Here is a 19,173-nt window from a genome sequence, read left to right as displayed (position 1 = left end):
CTGTCTCCATGAATGTGACTCTTCTGGACATTTAACATAAGTAGAATTACACAATATGTAGCCTTTTCTGTCTGACTTTTGATTTTAAGATTCATACAGGTTGTAGCATGTAGCATTTACAAATATTGTATTTCTTTTTGCCAAATAATATCCTATTTTATGATATAACACATTTTGTTTATTTGTTTGTCCGGTAATGGACATTTGTGCTATTTTCACTTTTTGGCTATTATGAATAATGCTACTAAGCACTTTTATGTACAACTGTTTGTATGGATATGTGTTTTCATTTCTCTGTGTTAAATACCAAGGAGTGCAATTCCTGAATTAAATAAGTCTGTGTTTATCTTTGGAAGAACTGTCATACTGTCTTGCAAAGCAGCTGCACTGTTTTACATTTATTTCTATCAGCAGTGTATGATGATTCTAATTTCTCCATATCCACAACAACACTTGTTATTATCTATCTTTTAAATTATAGCCATTCAAGTGTATAGGTGACATCTTACTGTGGTTTTGATTTGCATTTCCCTAATGAGTAATGATATTGATAATCTTTTCATATGTTTATTGGCTACTTGTGTATATCTTGTGGAAAAATATTTACTCATATTTTTGTTCATTTTCACACTAATACATTTTCTAATGAGATTTGAGTTTATTTTCAGTCAATAAGTATTTATTGAGAATTTACTGTGTGCCAGTTACTGTCCTAGATATTTGAAGATATATAAGTTAACCAAAGAGACAAAATCTCTGTCCCCATGAGTTTTACATTTGCTAGGAAAGATATTCAATGAAGATTAATTCTATAATATATTGCCAGATATTGTAAATGCTATGCAATACAGTATAATAGGACATTTAAAAACTGGGCCACACACTGGAATCACCAGGAGAGCTTTAAAAGCTACTGATTTCTGGCTCAACTCCCTCACCTGTGAGAATGGCTGGGCTGTAACCTAGTCATCCTGTTTTTCCTACACTATGGTGCCTTGGAAGCCTTATAATTTGCATGATTATAAAACCCAGGCCTCTAAGTCGAAGAACCAGGATTTCCCCTTTATTATTAATGGAGGTGGAAAGGGATGCTGCATAACTCAGAGTGGGAGAATTGGTTAGCCATTTGAAGAAAAATGGAAAATTACTCTCACCTCATATCATACATCACAACAAGATGAAATGTTACATAGTCATTAAAATATATGTATACAATTTTGAATAAAATCCATTCAGTTATTAACTCAAGCAAAAAAAAAAAAAATCAAATGCTTTTTGTGCTATGTCCTGGGGAGATAGTGATGAACCTGATATAATACATTACATTTTCTTATAGTTCATTGGAGGGACCAAAAAACCAAATACAGTGTAGTGAATAACAAGAGGGAGGCCTCTGAAATGGCCGCCCTGGGAGTGTCTGCCTTTATGCAGATGTAGGTAGGGATGAAACACGCCCTAGTCTCCTGCAGTGCCCCCAGGCTTGCTAGGATTAGGAAATTCCAGCATGGCGAATTTTAGTCAGACCGGTTCTCTGCTCTTGCACCCTGTTAAGATGTTTATCAATGACAATGCGTGCACAGCAGGACATGGAAGTTCATTAGTGACTCTAGTTTTGCCCTGAACTTGTGATCTTGCCCTGCTCATCTGCCTTGTGATTTTTTGTTGCCCTTAAAGCATGTGATCTCTGTGACCCACACCCTATTCGTACATTCCCTCCCCTCTGAAAATTGCTAATAAAAACTTGCTGGTTTTATGGCTCAGGGGGCATCACGGAACTTGCCAACATGTGATGTCTCCCCCAGACACCCAGCTTTAAAATTTCTCTCTTTTGTACTCTTTCCCTTTATTTCTCAGACCGGCTGACACTTAGAGAAAATAGAAAAGAACTCACGTTGGATCATTGGGGGCAGATTCCCCTGATATTCACACAAAAATGTTTTTATTCATTTCCTCTTGGACCATAGGCATAAACAGAAGTCAAAACTCAAGAAGAGGAGTTGCATAGTAGAAATAAAACAGGCTACAAAATGTGACACACTTGGGTTTGAATCCTTTCCTGACACATTCTAATTGTGGAAATTGCTCAACCTTTTAGCACCTCAATTTCTGTATCTTTAGAACAGGTAAAATGCACCTTATCTCAGAAGGTTGTTAGGGGATTTAAATGAGGTGTTGTACCTAAAGTATTTAAATAAATACGTGCTAATTTCCTCACTTTTTCTCTCTGTCCTTCTACCTTCAAAAAGCTCAACCTCTTTTCTCTATATAATGCAGATTTGCAGGTCCCCTGATCAATGTTATTTACAGACTTGGGCCTCTTAGTGCAACAAAAAGGATTTCCACTCCATTACCTTAATTAAGAGGGGGTAGCTCATTGGGATCACATAATTTGTGGAATAGCCTGGACACCTTAATCAAATAACTTTAAAATAAACATGACCCCATAAGTTTATCATCTCAGAAGATACATAAGAAGTAGAAGTAGCTAAAATGTTTATTAGAATCTCAACTCCTTCTTTAATGATTTTTTGGTGAGTAAATTATTATTTTTTGCTTAGGAGAAATTCACTTAACAAAATTCACCATTTTAAAGTGTACAATTCAGTGATATTTAGTATGTTCACATTTTTGTACAACAACCACCTCTATCTAGTTCCAAAATATTTTCATCTTCCCAAAGGAAACACAATTCCCATTAAGTGGGAACATCCTATTTCCCTTTATTCCCATCTCCTGAGAGTCATCAGTTTGCTTTCCAACTTTAGAAATTTACCTATTCTGCAAATTATTTACATATATGGAATTATACAATATATAACTTTTGTGTTTGTCTTCTTTCATGTAAAAATGTTTTAGCAGTTTGTCTATATTGTAGTATCTACTTCATTTCATTTTATGACTAATATTCCATTGTATGTATACACAACATTTTATTTATCCATTTACTTATTGATGGACATTTGGGTTTTTTCTGCCTTTTAGCAATTGTGACTACTGTTCCTATGAACATTTTTTTAAAAAACAGTAGTCCCATCTTTTTTTAACTTTTATTTTAGGTTCAAGGGTACATGTGCAGGTTTATTATATTGGTAAATTGTGTGTCACAGGTGTTTGGTGTTCAGATTGTTTCACCACACAGGTAATATGCCTATAGATAATTTTTGATCATCACTCTCCTCCACCCTCCACCCTCAAGTTGGTTTCAGTGTCTGTTGTTCCCTTTTTTGTGTCCATATGTTCCTGATGTTTAACTTCCACTTATAAGTTAGAACATGCAAATATAAATTGTATGAGTATATTTTATTTTAAATAACTCTTACTAATTCAGTGGAAAAAGTAATCTATGTCATCTTGCCACCCTAAGCCTTTTTATTGGAGCATTTGGCCCATTTACATTCAAAGTTAGTACAGAAATACCATTTGACCCAGCAATCCCATTACTGGGTATATACCCAAAGGAATATAAATTATTCTATTATAAAGATACATGCACATGTATGTTCACTGCAGTGCTACTCACAGTAGCGAAGACATGGAATCAACCCAAATGCCCATCAATGATAGACTGGATAAAGAAAATGTGCCACATATTTACCATGAAATACTATGCAGCCACAAAAAGGAATGAGATCATGTCCTTTGCAGGAATATGTATGGAGCTGGAAGTCATTATTTTCAGCAAACTAACTCAGGAACAGAAAACCAAACAAAACATGTTCTCACTTGTAAGTGGGAGCTGAATGATGGAACACATGGACACATGGGGGGAATAACACACACTGGGGACTCTTGGTGGGGGCAGGAGGATGGAGAGCATCAAGAAGAAAAGATGATGGATGCTAGGCTTAATACCTAGGTGATGGGTTGATCTGTGCAGCAAACCACATAATAAATGTACACATCCTGCACATGTATCCTGGAACTTAAAATAAAAGTTGATGAAAATCAAAAAACAAATTTAGTATAGATATGATTTCTCACTGTCCTTGTGTTGTTAGCTGTTTATTATCTAGACTTGTCTGTGTGTTTGCTTTATAGTCTCAGTGGTCTGTGTACTTAAGTGTGTTTGTGTGGTGGCTGGTAATGATTTTTTCTTTTTATGTTTAGCACTCCCTTAAGGACCTCTTATAAGACAGGTTTTGTGGTAACAACTTCCCTCAGCATGTGGTTGTCTGAAAATGATCCTATTTCTCCTTTACTCATGAAGCTTAGTTTGGTTGAATATGAAGTTCTTGGTTAAAAATTCTTTTCTTTAGGAATTTAGGAATGTTGAATATAGGTCCTCATTCTCTCCTGTCTTGTAGGTTTTTTTTTTTTTTTTCTGAAATGTATGCTGTTAACCTGATGGGATTCCCTTTGTATGTCACCTGCCCCCTTCTCTCTAGTTGTCTTTAACATTTTTTCTTTCATTTCAACCTTGAACAATTTGATGATTATGTGTCTTGGGGATGATCTTCTTGTGTAGTATTTCATAGGGGTTTCTGAATTTGAATGTTGGCATCTCTCGTGAGGTTGGGGAAATGTTAATGGATAGTGTTCTGAAATATGTTTTTCAAGTTGCTTACTTTTTCTCCTTTTCTTTGAAGGATGCCAATGAGTCATAGTTTAGTCTGTTTACATAAGCCCATGTTTCTCAGAGATTTTGTTCATTCTTTTTATTGTTTTTCTATATTTTTGTCTGAGTTACTTTGAAAAGCAGGTCTTCAAGCTCTGAGATTCTTTCCTCACCTTGGTCAGTTCTGCTGTTAATAGTTGCAGTTGTGTTCTGAAATTCTTAAAGTGGGATTTTCAGCTCTATTAGCTCAGTTTGGTTCTTTCTTAAAATGACAAATTCATCTTTTATTTCCTGTACTGTTTTATTGTATTTCTTAGAATTATTTGATTGGGTTTTGAATTTCTTGTGAATATCAATGATCTTTATTCCTATTCATATTCTGAATTCCATTTCTGTCATTTCAGGCATCTCAGCCTGGTTAAGAACCATTGCTGGGGAACTAGTGTTATTGTCTGGAGGTTATAAGACATTCTGGACTTTTAAGTAGCCAGAGACCTTGCACTGGCTCTTTTTCATCTTTGTCAGATGATGTTCCTTTAGTCCTTGAAGTTGCTGTCCTTTGGATGGATTTTCTTTCAGTTTTATCTTCTTTGATGTCGTTGCAGGTTTGATTGTGGTATAAGTTAGATTCAGCTGACTGCCTTCATTTGTGGTAGATTTGGAGGGGCCCAAGATTCAGGTCAGCACTCCTGACCTGTATGCTCTAACTCTGAGGGGAAAATATCAGGTCCCCAGCTTTGGTATCTGTCGCCTCAGGTATAAAAACCTGATGCACTCGATGGGTCAAGATGTTCCTGGGCTGCTGGTCACAACACTCTGAATGGTGGTGCCAGCCAAAGTGTTTCTTTGGGTGGTGGAAGCAAAATCTGTTCTCATTTGCATGTGCAAGCACCATTAACAGCATGCTGAGGTGCACCCTCATCAGTTGGGGTGGGGCACTAGTGTGTCTGGGGCTGCCAGCCTCCCTGCAGGCACTGGCAACAACAGTGGTGACAGCATAGGGAGGAGGGCATTGAGGGGGAGGGGGACAGAGGGGGACAGGATCACTGGGTTCTGTGTGCATGTTCACAGCCCACACATATGAGAAAGTTGAAACTCAAGACATTGAGCAACCTTACCTCTATGGCTTTTCTGAGCTCATCCCATACTTTAGATCTCCCAGAATGGCTTTGCATGCTTCCAGTGGCTCCACAGTTCTGGGATATTGACGGTGGCTCTGGCTCTGACCCCACTTTTTTGTTCAGCCTTGCCCTTGTGGGAGGCCTGAGTGGTGACTCTGCTTTGGGACAAGTCTCTCCCTGGGCCCCCTGGCTTTTAAGTACATCTTCTGAAATCTAGGTACAGGCTATCATGGCCCCACAGCTCTTGCATTCTGCACATCTGAAATGTTAGCACCATGTGGACATAGCCTAAGGTTACTGCTTGCACCCTCTCAAGATACATTTGGGTCCACTTGTGCCATACCATAGTGCCACAAAGGCTTATGGCTTATATCTTTCAGGGCAGCAAGTTGACCTACACCTGAGGCCACTTGAACCACAGCAGGATTTGCTGAAAAGTGCTATGCCAGGATGCATGAAGTAGAGTCCTGAGTCATCCCTGGGCAACAGGGATGGAGATTGGAGAGTGCCCTGGGACCATCTCAGAAAAGCATTCTTCCCTCATAGAACTCTGGGCCTAGGATAAAATGGGCAGCCTCAAAGATCTCTAGAATGCCTTCAGGGCCATTTTCTTGTTGTCTTGATGATTAGCACCTAGCTCCCTTCTATTCATGCTAATCTCTTTAGTAACCAGTCTCTCAGCCACACCCTTGTTTTGTTCTCATATACATACTGTTTTGCTCTTTACATGGCCAGGCTATGAATTTTTCACATCTTTCTGTTCTGCATCCATTTCAATCACTAATTCTGTCCGTGAACTATTCTTTTGCTCCAACATCTCATTGTAAGTGGCCAACAGTCAGTATGCAGCAGGCTGAATACTTTACTGCTTAGACGTTTCTTCTGTCAGATATCCTAGTTCATCCTTAATATCAGCCTTCCACAAAGTCCATAAACACAGACAAAATTCATTCAAGTTGTTAAGTTGTTTGTCACTACATAGCAAGGATAGCCTTTACTCCAGTTTCCAGTACTTGTGCCTCACTTCCATCTGAGACCTCCTCAGAATGGACTCTACTGTCCACATTTCTATCAGCATTCTGGTTATGACCATTTAAGTAATTTCTTTTTTTATTTTTCAGTTTTTATTTATCTCCTGGAGTACTTGCCTTACAAGTATTTTTTTTTATTATACTTTAAGTTCTATGGTACATGTGCACAACATGAAGGTTTGTTACATATGTATACACGTGCCATGTTGGTGTGCTGCACCCATTAACCTATCATTTACATTAGGTATATCTCCTAATGCTATCCCTCCCTGCTCCCCCCACCCCACAACAGGCCCTGGTGTGTGATGTTCCCCACCCTGTGTCCAAGTGTTCTCATTGTTCAATTCCCACCTATGAGTGAGAACATGCAGTGTTGGGTTTTCTGTCCTTGCAATAGTTTGCTGAGAATGATGGTTTCCAGCTTCATCCATGTCCCTACAAAGGACATGAACTCATCCTTTTTCATGGCTGCGTAGTATTCCATGGTGTATACGTGCCACATTTTCTTAATCCAGTCTATCATTGATGGACATTTGGGTTGGTTCCAAGTCTTTGCTATTGTGAATAGTGCCACAATAAACATACATGTGCATGTGTCTTTATAGCAGCATGATTTATAATCTTTTGCGTATATACCCAGTAATGGGATGGCTGGGTCAAATGGTATTTCTAGTTCTAGATCCTTGAGGAATCACCACACTGTCTTCCACAATGGTTGAACTAGTTTACAGTCCCACCAACAGTGTAAGTAATTTCTATGAAGATTCAGACTTTCTCCAGTCTCTCATATCCTGAACTTGTACCAAAATTATCCTCAATGTTCTATTTATGGCAACCCAAGCTTTTTCTAACCTGTTCCTTCAAACTCTTTCAGTTTCTACCCATTACCTAGTTTGAAAGCTCTTTTCACATCTTCAGGTATTTATTTTTATTTTCAGTTCTGGTGCAGAATGTGCAGGTTTGTTACATAGGTAAACGTGTTCCATGGTGATTTGCTGCACCTGTCAACCCATCACCTAGCTTTTGAGCCCAGAATGCATTAGCTATTTTTCCTAATGCTCTCCTTCCCCTCAACCCACCCCCTGACATGTCCCAGTGTGTGTTTTTCCCCTCCCTATGTTCAGGTGTTTCATTGTTCAGCTCCCACTTATAAGCAAGATCATGTGGTGTTTGGTTTTCTGTTCATGCATTAGTTTCCTGGTGGTAATGGCTTTCAGCTTCATCTATGTCCCTGAAGTGTACATGATCTTATTCCTTTTTATGGCTATATAGTATTCAATGGTGTATATGTACCACATTTTCTTTATGCCATATTTTTTATTAGCAACAGCCCCACATCCTGGTACCAATTTTCTGTTCTAATCAATTTTCTGTAGCTATAACAGTATACCTAAGACAAGGGAATTTATGTTTAAAAAGGTTTATTTTGACTCACAGTTCTGGAGGCTGAGGAGTCCAAGATTGAATGGCTGCATCTACTGGACCGCTGGTGAAGACCTCATGCTGTGTGATAACATGGTGGAAGCCATTATAGGACAAGAGAGGTGCACTGAGAAGCAAACTGGATTTTATATTAGACTCATTCTTGTGATAACTAACCCACTTCTGCAATAACCCATTAATTGATTAATCCGTGAATGGATTAATCCATTCATGAAGGCAGAAGCCTCATGACCCAATCACTTTTCAATGACACCACTCCCCAACACTATTACATTTGGGAATAAGATTCAACTGTGAGTTTCATAGGAGACAAATATTCAAGCCCTAGCAGGTGTAGTTTAGGCATTCAAATTTATTCTTTTGCATGTGTATATCCAGTTGTTCCAATACCAAAATGACAGTTAAAAAGGCTGTGCTTTGCCCATTAAATTGTCTTGGCATCCATGTTGAAAATCACAATATATTCAAGGGTTTATATCTGGGCTTTTCATTATATTTCATTTGTCTATATGTCTGTCTTTATATGTGTATGTCTATATGTTTTGATTACTGAAGTTTTATAGTAAGTTTTGAAGTTCAAGAAGTGTAAGTCCTCCAAATTGGGTTTTATTTTTCAATATTGTTTTGGCTATCTGGGTTCCTTAAGTTTTGATATTAATTTTAGGATGAATTTTTCTATTTCTGGAATAAAACATCATTGAGATTTTGATAGAAATTATGTTGAATTTGCAGATATCTGTATACTGTAAGTAGTATTGACATCTTAATAATATTGCTTCCAATCTATGAACATGGGATATCTTTTAATCTACTTATGTTTTCTTTAACTTCTCTAGCAATGTTTTGTAGTTTTCATTGTAAAAGTCTTTGCCTCTTTGGTTAAGTTTACTCGTAAGCATTTTATTGATGATATTTAAGTGAAATAGTGTTCTTAATTTCCTTTTCAGACTGGTAATTGCTAGTTTATAGAAATACCTCCTGACTTTTATATGATGATCTTGTATCCTGCACCTTTGCAGAATTTGTTTTTAGCTTTAATAGTCTATGAATTCCTTCATATTTTCTACATATAAGGTCATGTTATCTGCAAATAGTTTAGCTGCTTTTTTTTTTTCAATTTTAATGTATTTTATTTTTTTTTTCTTCCTTAATTGTTCTGGCTAGAACTTCCATCACAATGGTGAGTAGCAGTGGTAAAGGCTGTCATCTCCATTCTGTTCTTGATTGTACACATTGTCTATTTTTACAATTAAGCATAATTAGCTCTTGATGTTTTGTGAATGCTCAAAATCAGTTTCAAGAAATTTCCTTCTATTTTTAACTGTTGGGTGTTTTTTCATAAAAGATTTTTGGACTTTGTCATATACATTTTCTGCATCAATTGAAATTATCTTTTTTTCTTTTCTACTATTAATGTGGTGCATTATATTCATTGAATTTTGTATGTTGAACTATCTTTACCCCTAGATAATTTCTACTTGGTTATAATGTGTAATTCTTTCATAGGTTGCTAGACTCAACCTATTATAAGTCTTTTTTAGGATCTTTAATAGCATATTCCCATCAGTTTCTGCATTATTTTCCATTGGAGGGTTTTTAATTGTTTTTCCAATTTTTTTAACTGTTTATAGATGTGTTCGATTTTTTTATTATTATTATACTTTAAGTTTTAGGGTACATGTGCACAATGTGCAGGTTAGTTACATATGTATACATGTGCCATGCTGGTGTGCTGCATCCATTAACTCGTCATTTAGCATTAGGTATATCTCCTAATGCTATCCCTCCCCCCTCCCCCCACCCCACAACAGTCCCCAGTTTGTGATGTTCCCCTTCCTGTGTCCATGTGTTCTCATTGTTCAATTCCCACCTATGAGTGAGAATATGCAGTGTTTGGTTCTTTGTTCCTGAATCAATTGTGGTAATTTGCATTTCTAGGAATTTGTCTATGTTATCTAGGATACATAATTTATTGGTGTAAATTTCTCATACTATTCTCCTTCTACAAAATAAATTTGTGTGCGTTTGAGATTCACAAGTAATGACTTGAGATACACGTGCCAGCATATCTAATTTTATTGCACTTTGCAGATATTGCACTTTTTATAAATTGAAAGTTTGTGGCCATTCTTCATCAAGCAAGTCTTCCCACAGATGAGTGCTACTGCAAGTAGAAATATTTTGTCATTTTGTTTTCCAGTTGTTTGCTGGTAGTACCTAAGAATATAATTAATTTATATATATTGAATTTGTAATATGCAACATTGTTACATTCTATAAGTTATAGTATTCATTTCAGAGGTTCATGGGAATTTTCTTGGTAATAATAATAATATCTGCAAATGGAACAGTGATACTTCTTTCTTTCTTACATATGTGCCTATCTTTCTTGTCTTTTCTTCTCTCATGTCTTTCTCTTATTTTTTTCTTTATTTTCTTGTTTGATTGAACCGTCTAGAAAGTCAAGTAAAATATTTAATAGAAGTGATGAGAAAAGTCTTCCTGGCTTGGTCCTAACCTTAGTGAAAAAACACTCAGTCTTTCACATTAATTATCATGTTTTCCATAGGATTTTGGTAGATGCCCATCAATATTTGTAATATTTTTTCTATTCTTTCTTTGGTGAAAATTTTTCCATGAATATGTAGTAAATTTTGTCATGTAAATTTGTGGCATATTGAAGTGATCATGTGCTTTTTCTTTTTTAGCCTGTTAGTGTGGTAAATCATAATGTTTGAATTTCAAATGTTAAAACAAACTTGCATTTCTGGAATAAATTCAAGTATATATTATCATTTGTATATCTTGTGGAATATAGTTTGGTAAAATTTTCTACTTTAAAAATGTTCATGATTATTTTATTATTAATTTCAAGCTATACAGATGTTATAAACATGTTTTACAGATAATGCTTCTAAAAAATTGTTTATGGGTCTTAAAATAAATATTCCCTATGCTTGAAAATATTATTGCATCCAGTGTTTGTAACAGGTGGTTACTACCTACAGAGAACATTCTTTCTAAAGGGCAGGATGCCCACATATCATAAAATTCCCTCAACATTTTGAAAATATTTTGCAATAATTTTTTTTGATGACAGCTTCATTGAGATATGTCATACTGTAAATTAATCTATTTAAAGTGTACCATACTGTTTTGTATTAAGTACAACCACAGGATTGCACAATCAATACTGTAGCCTGATTTTATAATATTTTGGTTCCCCATAAAAGAAACCTTACAACCACTCAGAGTCACACTCTATTTCTCCTTCAACACTCGCACACTTACCACCAATGAAGCCCTAGGCAACAACTAATATCATTTCTCTGTCTACATATTTGGCTTTTCTAGATATTTTATACAGGTAGAATCATACACCACGTGTATTTGTTATTTCCTTCCTTTATTTAACATAAGGTTTTTAAGGTTCAACCAAGTTGTATCAGTAATAAATTCATCTATACTGATTACTGAATATTATTGTTTTACTACATTTTATTTATGCATTCATCAGTTGATGGACACTTTTTGGCCACCATAAATAATGCTGGTATTAATATTTGTGTACAAGTTTTTGTGGGAACATATGATTTCATACCTATTGGGTATATACCCAAGGGTGAAATTTAAGGTGATACTGAAACGATATGTTTAAATTTTTAAAGAACTGCCCAACCGTTGTCTAAACTGGCTGCAACATTTTACATTGCTACCAGCAGTGCAAGTGGGTTCTACTTTCTTCCCATCCATCTCATCACTGGGTATTATATTTCTTTTTGATTATAGCCATCCTAATGAGTGTAAAGAGGTATCACATTGTGATTTTCGTTTGTATTTCTTTGTTATGTAATGATTTTGAGATTTTTTTCTTTTGTTTTTGAACATTTTTATATCTTCTTTGGAGATATGTCTATTTGGATTTCTGCACATTTAAGTATTTGGTAGTTTATATTTTAATTATTGAGTTCTAACCATTTTTATATATTCCTGACACAAGTCCATATATAACATTATATATACAAACACAAACAAATATACATATACACACACATATATACATATATAATTTGCAAATGTTTTCTTTCATTCTGTGGTGTGCCATTTTACTTTTGTGCTAATTCCCTTTGATGGACACAAGTTATTAATTTTTATGAAATCAAATGTATCTGTCTTTAGAATTTCTCTTTTATTGGCTTTTAGCACGTTGTCTATAAACCCATTCCTTAATCAAAAGACCCCAAATGTACAACCTTGATAATTTAAAAGAGTTTAATAGTTTTAACCCTTATATACATGTCCATGTTCCATTTTTACTAAAAGCATATATATGGTACGAGGTAAGAGCTCAACTTCATTCCTTTGCATATAGATACCTAGTTTCTCTAGCACCATTTTTTAAAAACTCTTTTCCCCCCACTAAATTGTTTTCAGAGCATTTAGATATAAATTGACTGAAATGTGAAGGCTTATATTTGGACACTCAATTCTATTCCTCTGATTTAAATTGCATCTTGTCTTTGTTACTGTAACTTTGAATTAGTTTTGAAATCAGTATATCAGGTGGGTACTCAAACTTTGTTCTTTATCAAGCTTATTTTTGCTATTTTGGGACCCTTAAAATTCCACATAAATTTTAGCATCAGCTTGCCAATATCTGCAAAGAAGCAATGTGAAATTTTGTTAGGGATTGTGTCAAGTCTGTATATCCTTTTGGGGTGAATCACCATCTTGAAAATATTAATTCTTCCAATAAATGAGTATAAAATGTCTTTTCATTTGTTTAGGTATTTTTATTCCTGTAAACATTATTTTGTGGTTTCCAGATGATTGGTTTTTCAGTTCTTTTGTTAAATTTATTCCTAAGTATTTTATTTATTTTCGTTGTATTGTAAATGGAATTGCTTTCCTTAATTCCATTTCTGGATTGTTCATTGCAACTGTATAGACATACAATAGAATATTTTGTATTGAACTTACATCCTGCAACCTTGAAAAACTCATTTATTATATCTAAGAGGTCTTTAGTCGATTTTTTATGATTTTCTGCATAACAGATCATGTCATTATAAATTAGGGAAGATATAGTTTTATTTTTTCCTTTCCATTTTACATGCCTTTTATTTCATATTTCTACAAATTTATCTTATTAGAGATGCTAGTACAATGTAAAATAGAAATAATGAAAGCAGACCTCCTTTTCCTGTTCCTGAATTCAGAGAAAAACATTCAGTTTTTTTATCATTAGTTATGATGTTAGCCATGGGTTCTTTGTATGTGTCATTTAGCAGGATGACAATAGTCATTTTTATTTCTACTATGTTGGCTAATTTTATAATGAAAGAATTTGGATATTATTAAAAGTTTTGCCTACATCCATTGAGGCACATTTGTGTTTTTTGTTAATCTACTGATATAATGCATTACATTAATTGATTATCAGATGTTAAGCCAACTTTGCCTTCCTAAGAAGAATTTCATTTGGCATTTAATATGCTGCTGGACTTAGTTTGTTGGCATTAAGTTGATGATTTGTGCATCTGTATTTAGGTGAGATATACATTTGAACATTTCATGTAATGTCTGATTTGTTTTGGTATATGTGTAATATTGGGCTCAGGATGAATTCAGAAATCTTCCCTTCTCTTCTAAATTTTGGCCAATTTTGTGAAGATTTTCTATTAACTGTTTAAGTGTTTGGTAGAATTCACCAGAGATGCGATCATAAACTGGGCTTTTCTTTATGGAAAAGTTTTTGAGTACTGATTCAATCTCTTTATCTCTTATAGGTATATTCAAATTCCATACTTCTTGAGTCAGATTCAGCAACTTGTGTTTTTCCATGAATTTGTCAATTTTATCTACATTATCTAATTTGTTGGCATACAATTGTTTTTAGTTTTCCCATATAATCAATTTTATCTTTCTATGGTCTATAATGTGTTGTCAATTTTTATCTTTTTAAGGAACCAACAATTGACTCTGATCTTTTTTTTTTTTTTTTTTTTTTTTTTTGTTGAGATGTAGTCTCACCTTGTCACCCAGGCTGGAGTGCAATGGCTCACTGCAACCTCCACCTCCCAGGTTCAAGCGATTCTCCTGTCTCAGCCTTCTGAGTACCTGGGATTACAGGTGCCTGCCACCATGCCTGGCTAATTTTTGTATTTTTGGTAGAGACGGGGGTTTCACCATGTTGGCCAGGCTGGTCTCGATCTCCTGATCTCAAGTTGTCTCACTGCCTCAGCCTCCCTACTTTTAGTGCCTCAAGGTGTAAAGTTAGATTATTAACATGACATTGTTCTTCTTTCTTAATATAGTAATTTAAAGTACAGATTTTCCTCTGAGCACTGCTTTGGTTGCATCCCTAAAGTTTTTGTATGCTATGTTTTCATTTTAATTCTTTTCTATGTATATGTAAATTATTCTGGTTATTTCTCTTTTAATACTTTGATGATTTAAGGGTGTATTGTTTAATCTCCACATATTTGTAAATTTTCCAGCTTTCCTTCTGTTACTGATTTCTAGCCTTATCTCACTGTTGTTGATAAAGATACTTTGTGTGACTTCGACATTTCAAAACTTAATGGTACTTATTTTTTGGCCTAACATATGGTTCTTCCTGGAGAATTCTTCTTGTGCACTTGAGAAGAATGTGTGTTCTGCTGTTTTCAAGTTTAGTAGTCTGAGTATGTTTTTTAGGGCTAGTTGATTTATACTGTTGTTCAAGTCTTCTTTCACTATTAATTTCTTACTGCACAGCTATCTATTTGTACCTGCAATTCTGGCAATGTGAGGGTGTCATATACTTTGGGAGTCTGTTATTTAGTGCTTGTATGATTATAATTGTTATACCTTCATGAATTCACCACTTTATGTATGTATATTGTCCTTCTTTTCCTCTCATAACAATTTTTCACTTGAATTCTGCTTTGTCTAACATTAATATAGTGACCACAGATCTGTTTTCATTACTGTTTGAATGGAGTGTATTTTTCTATCTTTTTACTTTCAACTTAAATGTGTCCTTGGATCTAAAGTGAGTTTCTTGTAGAGAGGATATAGTTTGATCATTTTTAAATGTAAACCCATTTTGCCTTTGTCTGCCTTTTGATTGAAAATTTTAATTAATTTTCATTTAAAGTAGTTACTAATTGGAAAGAACTTATATCTGCATTTGATACTGATTCTAAGTTTGTCTTATACATTTTTTGGTCTTTATTTTTCCATTATTGACATCTGTTGTGTTTACTTGTTTTTTTGTAGTAAAGCATTTTGATTTTCTTCTCATTCTGTTGCATATAATTTTTAAATCAAACAATTTTGTTTGGCATATAAATGACATTTAACATCCTAAATTTATAACAATCTAGTTCAAATTGTTACTCACTGAACTTCCAAAGCATATACAAACTATGCTCCTAAAATTTCCATTCTATCCCTTTTTTATGTTGTGATTTTTATAAATTATATCTTTATACATTATGACCCAATAATATACATTTATATTTAATTGTCCTTAAAATTCTGTAGAAAAAAAATTTTAAACTGAAGTTACAAAGCAAAAATACAATATTGGCTTTTATATTTGCTCATATATTTATCTTTACTAGAAAATTTTATGTTTTCATATGAATTTGATTTATTATCTAGAGTTCTTTCATTTCAGTCTGAAGGACTCTCATCAGCATTTTATGTAGGGCAAATGCAATGGTAATGAACTAGTCCAGCATTTGTTTTTCTGGGAATGTCTTAACTTCTCTAATTTTTTGAAGGATAGTTTTGCTGAACATAGAATACTTAGTCAACCATTTGCTTTTCTTTCAGCACATTAAATATATGATTCCACTGTCTTCTCAGCTTCAAGACTTCTGCAGAGAAATCAGCTGATTATCTTATTTAAGATCCATTTACATGATGAGTCTCTTCTATTTTGTTCCTTTCAAGATTCTGTTATTGACTTTACATGTTTGATTATAATATGTCTCATGGTGTTTATTTAAGTTTATCTTATTTGGATTTTTTGAGGTTTGTGAATTCATAGATTCATGTCTTTCATCAAATTTGGCAAGTTTTTGGCTATTTCTTCAAATATTCTTTTACCCTATCTCCCTCTTCTCTTATTATTATTCTCCTGATGCATATGTTTGTCTGCTTGATGGCATCCTGCAAGCCTCTTAGGCTTTATTCACTTTTCTTCATTTTTTTCTGTCTGCTCCTCAAACTCAATTTCAATTGTCCTATTTTAGGTTCACTGATTCTGCTTGTTTAAATCTACTTTTAATAACTTTTCTTTCAGTTATGGTAGTTTTTCACATCACAATTTTTATTTGTTTTTATAGTGTCTGTCACATCATTGATATTCTCATTTGGGTCATACATTATTTCTCTAATTTAATGTAGTTATTTTTCCATGTTTTTATTTAGCTTTTTATGCATATTTAAGAGAGTTATTTTAAAGTCTTTTTCTAGTAGATCTACATTGGCTGCCTCAAAGATAAATTCTCTCAATTTATGGTGTTCCCTTGAATGGGCCAAACTTTGCTGTTCCTTTGTATGCCTTGTCTTTTCTTGTTGAAAACTAGTCACTTGAATATTATAATGTTGTATCTCTGCAAATCAGATCCTCCCCCTTTCCTAGGGTTTGTTATTTTTCTGATTGTTGAAGATTGTGACAGTCATTTGATTAGTGATTTTCCGAGAATTTTTTTTTTGTAAGGACTATATTCCTTGATTTGTGCGGTCACTGAAGTCTCTGTTTCTTTGCTTGAGTTCAGCTAGTGTATTGATAGAGCTCTCCTTGAATGTGAGGAGCTAAAAAAAAAACAAACCCCCACCCCCCAATCTTGGTAGATTAGTTCTGTGCCTGGGCACTTCTTTAACACTTAGCCAGGTTTTCACTCAGCCCAGGGATCAGCCCAATGTGAAAACTTCCCTGGTGTTTTCTGCATATGTCTCTTTCCTGGGGCATGTGCATCATCTTTTAAATTACTCATAAATGTTATTGTTTTCAAATATTTTACAGAGAAACTCTTCCTAGGTTTTGCTTTCAGGCTGTAGATAATATAGTGCATGTCTCAACTATAATCTTTGTTTCAGGAGCCTTTGGGTTCAGTTGGTGGTGTTTTAAGCATTGCCCACTGCTTTTCTGGCCTGAGTTCCAGGTTAGTAAAGGCAAAGATGAACACCTTGTTTTAATCCTTAAGTTAGCCCCCAGACAAATTGGAACAAAATAATTTGCAAACAAAGTATTTTCTGCTCCTTCTGGAACCAGGGATCAGGGTCCTAGTCTGGGCATGTGGGCTTCCCTCTTCAAGACTGCTACTGTGCCATGGAAGAAGGTGGAAAGAGCAAGTAAAAATGCCAAAAATCTTCCTGTCTTTTTGATTTTTATCATTTTTATTTCAGCATTTGCTTGGCTGTAAACCTTTGACTATTTCCCAGGGTTTTTACAAAGTTGGTTCTGACAGTTCCTAATTATTTTTCAGAGATTTTGTGGGCAGATACAAACTTAAAGCTACCTACTCTACCATTTTGCTGATGTGATTCTTCTACAGTAGAGGTTTTTAATAACTTTTGCCTTAAAAAATATGTAGTATGTGGATCTACAACCATCTGATCTTTGACAAACCTGACAAAAGCAAGCAATGGGGAAAGGATTCCCTATTTAATAAGGAGCCCATATAGCCAAGACAATCCCAAGCAAAAAGAACAAAGCTGGAGGCATCACACTACTTGACTTCAAACTATACTACAAGGCTACAGTAACCAAAACAGCATGGTGCTGGTACCAAAACAGATACATAGACAAATGGAAGAGAACAGAGGCCTCAGAAATAATGCCACTCATCTACAACTATCTGATCTTTGACAAACCTGACAAAAGCAATGGAGAAAGGATTCTCAATTTAATGAATGGTGTTGGGAAAACTGACTAGCCATATGCAGGAAACTGAAACTGGGCACCTTCCTTACAACTCATATGAAAATGAACTCAAGATGCATTAAAGACTTAAACATAAAACCTAAAACCATAAAAACCATAGAAGAAAACCTAGGCAATACCATTCAGAACATAGGCATGGGCAAACACTTCATAACTAAAACACCAAAAGTAATGGCAACAAAAGCAAAAACTGACAAATGGGATATAATTAAACTAAAGAGCTTCTGCATGGGAAAATAAACTATCATCAGAGTGAACAGGCAACCTATAGAATGAGAGAAAATTTTTGCAATCTATCCATCTAACAAAGGGCTAATATCCAGAATCGACAAAGAACTTAAACAAATTTACAAGAAAAAAAACAACCCCATCACAAAGTAGGCAAAGGATATGAACAGGCACTTCTCAAAAGGCGACATTTATGCAGGCAACAAACATGAAAAAAAAGCTCATCATCACTGGTCATTAGAGAAATGCAAATCAAAACCACAGTGAGATACCATCTCACGCCAGTTAGAATGGTGATCATTAAAAAGTCAGGAAACAACAGATGCTGGAGAGCATATGGAGAAATAGGGACACTTTTACACTGTTAGTGGCAGTGTAAATTAGTTCAACCATTGTGGAAGACAGTGTGGTGATTCCTCAAGGATCTAGAACCAGAAATACCATTTGACCCAGCAATCCCATTACTGGGTATATAACCAAAGGATTAGAAATCATTTCTACTATAAAGACACCTGCACACATATATTTATTGCAGCTCTATTTACCATAGCAAAGACTTGGAACCAACCCAAATGCTCATCAATGATAGACTGGATAAAGAAAATGTGGCACATATACACCATAGAATACTATGCAACCATAAAAAAGGATGAGTTCATGTCCTTTGCAGGGACATTGATTAAGCTGGAAGCCACCATTCCCAGCAAACTAACACAGGAACAGAAAACCAAACATGCATGTTCTCACTCATAAGTGGAAGTTGAACAATTAGAACACATGGACACAGGGAGGGGAACATCACACACCAGGGCCTGCCAGGGGGTGGGGGCAAATGGGAGGGAGAGCATTAGG

The sequence above is a fragment of the Homo sapiens genome, chromosome X, assembly GCF_000001405.40.
Source record: "Homo sapiens chromosome X, GRCh38.p14 Primary Assembly".
In the NCBI taxonomy this organism is placed as follows: domain Eukaryota; kingdom Metazoa; phylum Chordata; class Mammalia; order Primates; family Hominidae; genus Homo; species Homo sapiens.
The sequence above is the reverse complement of the archived record's forward strand: the minus strand, read 5'-3'. Positions refer to the sequence as shown.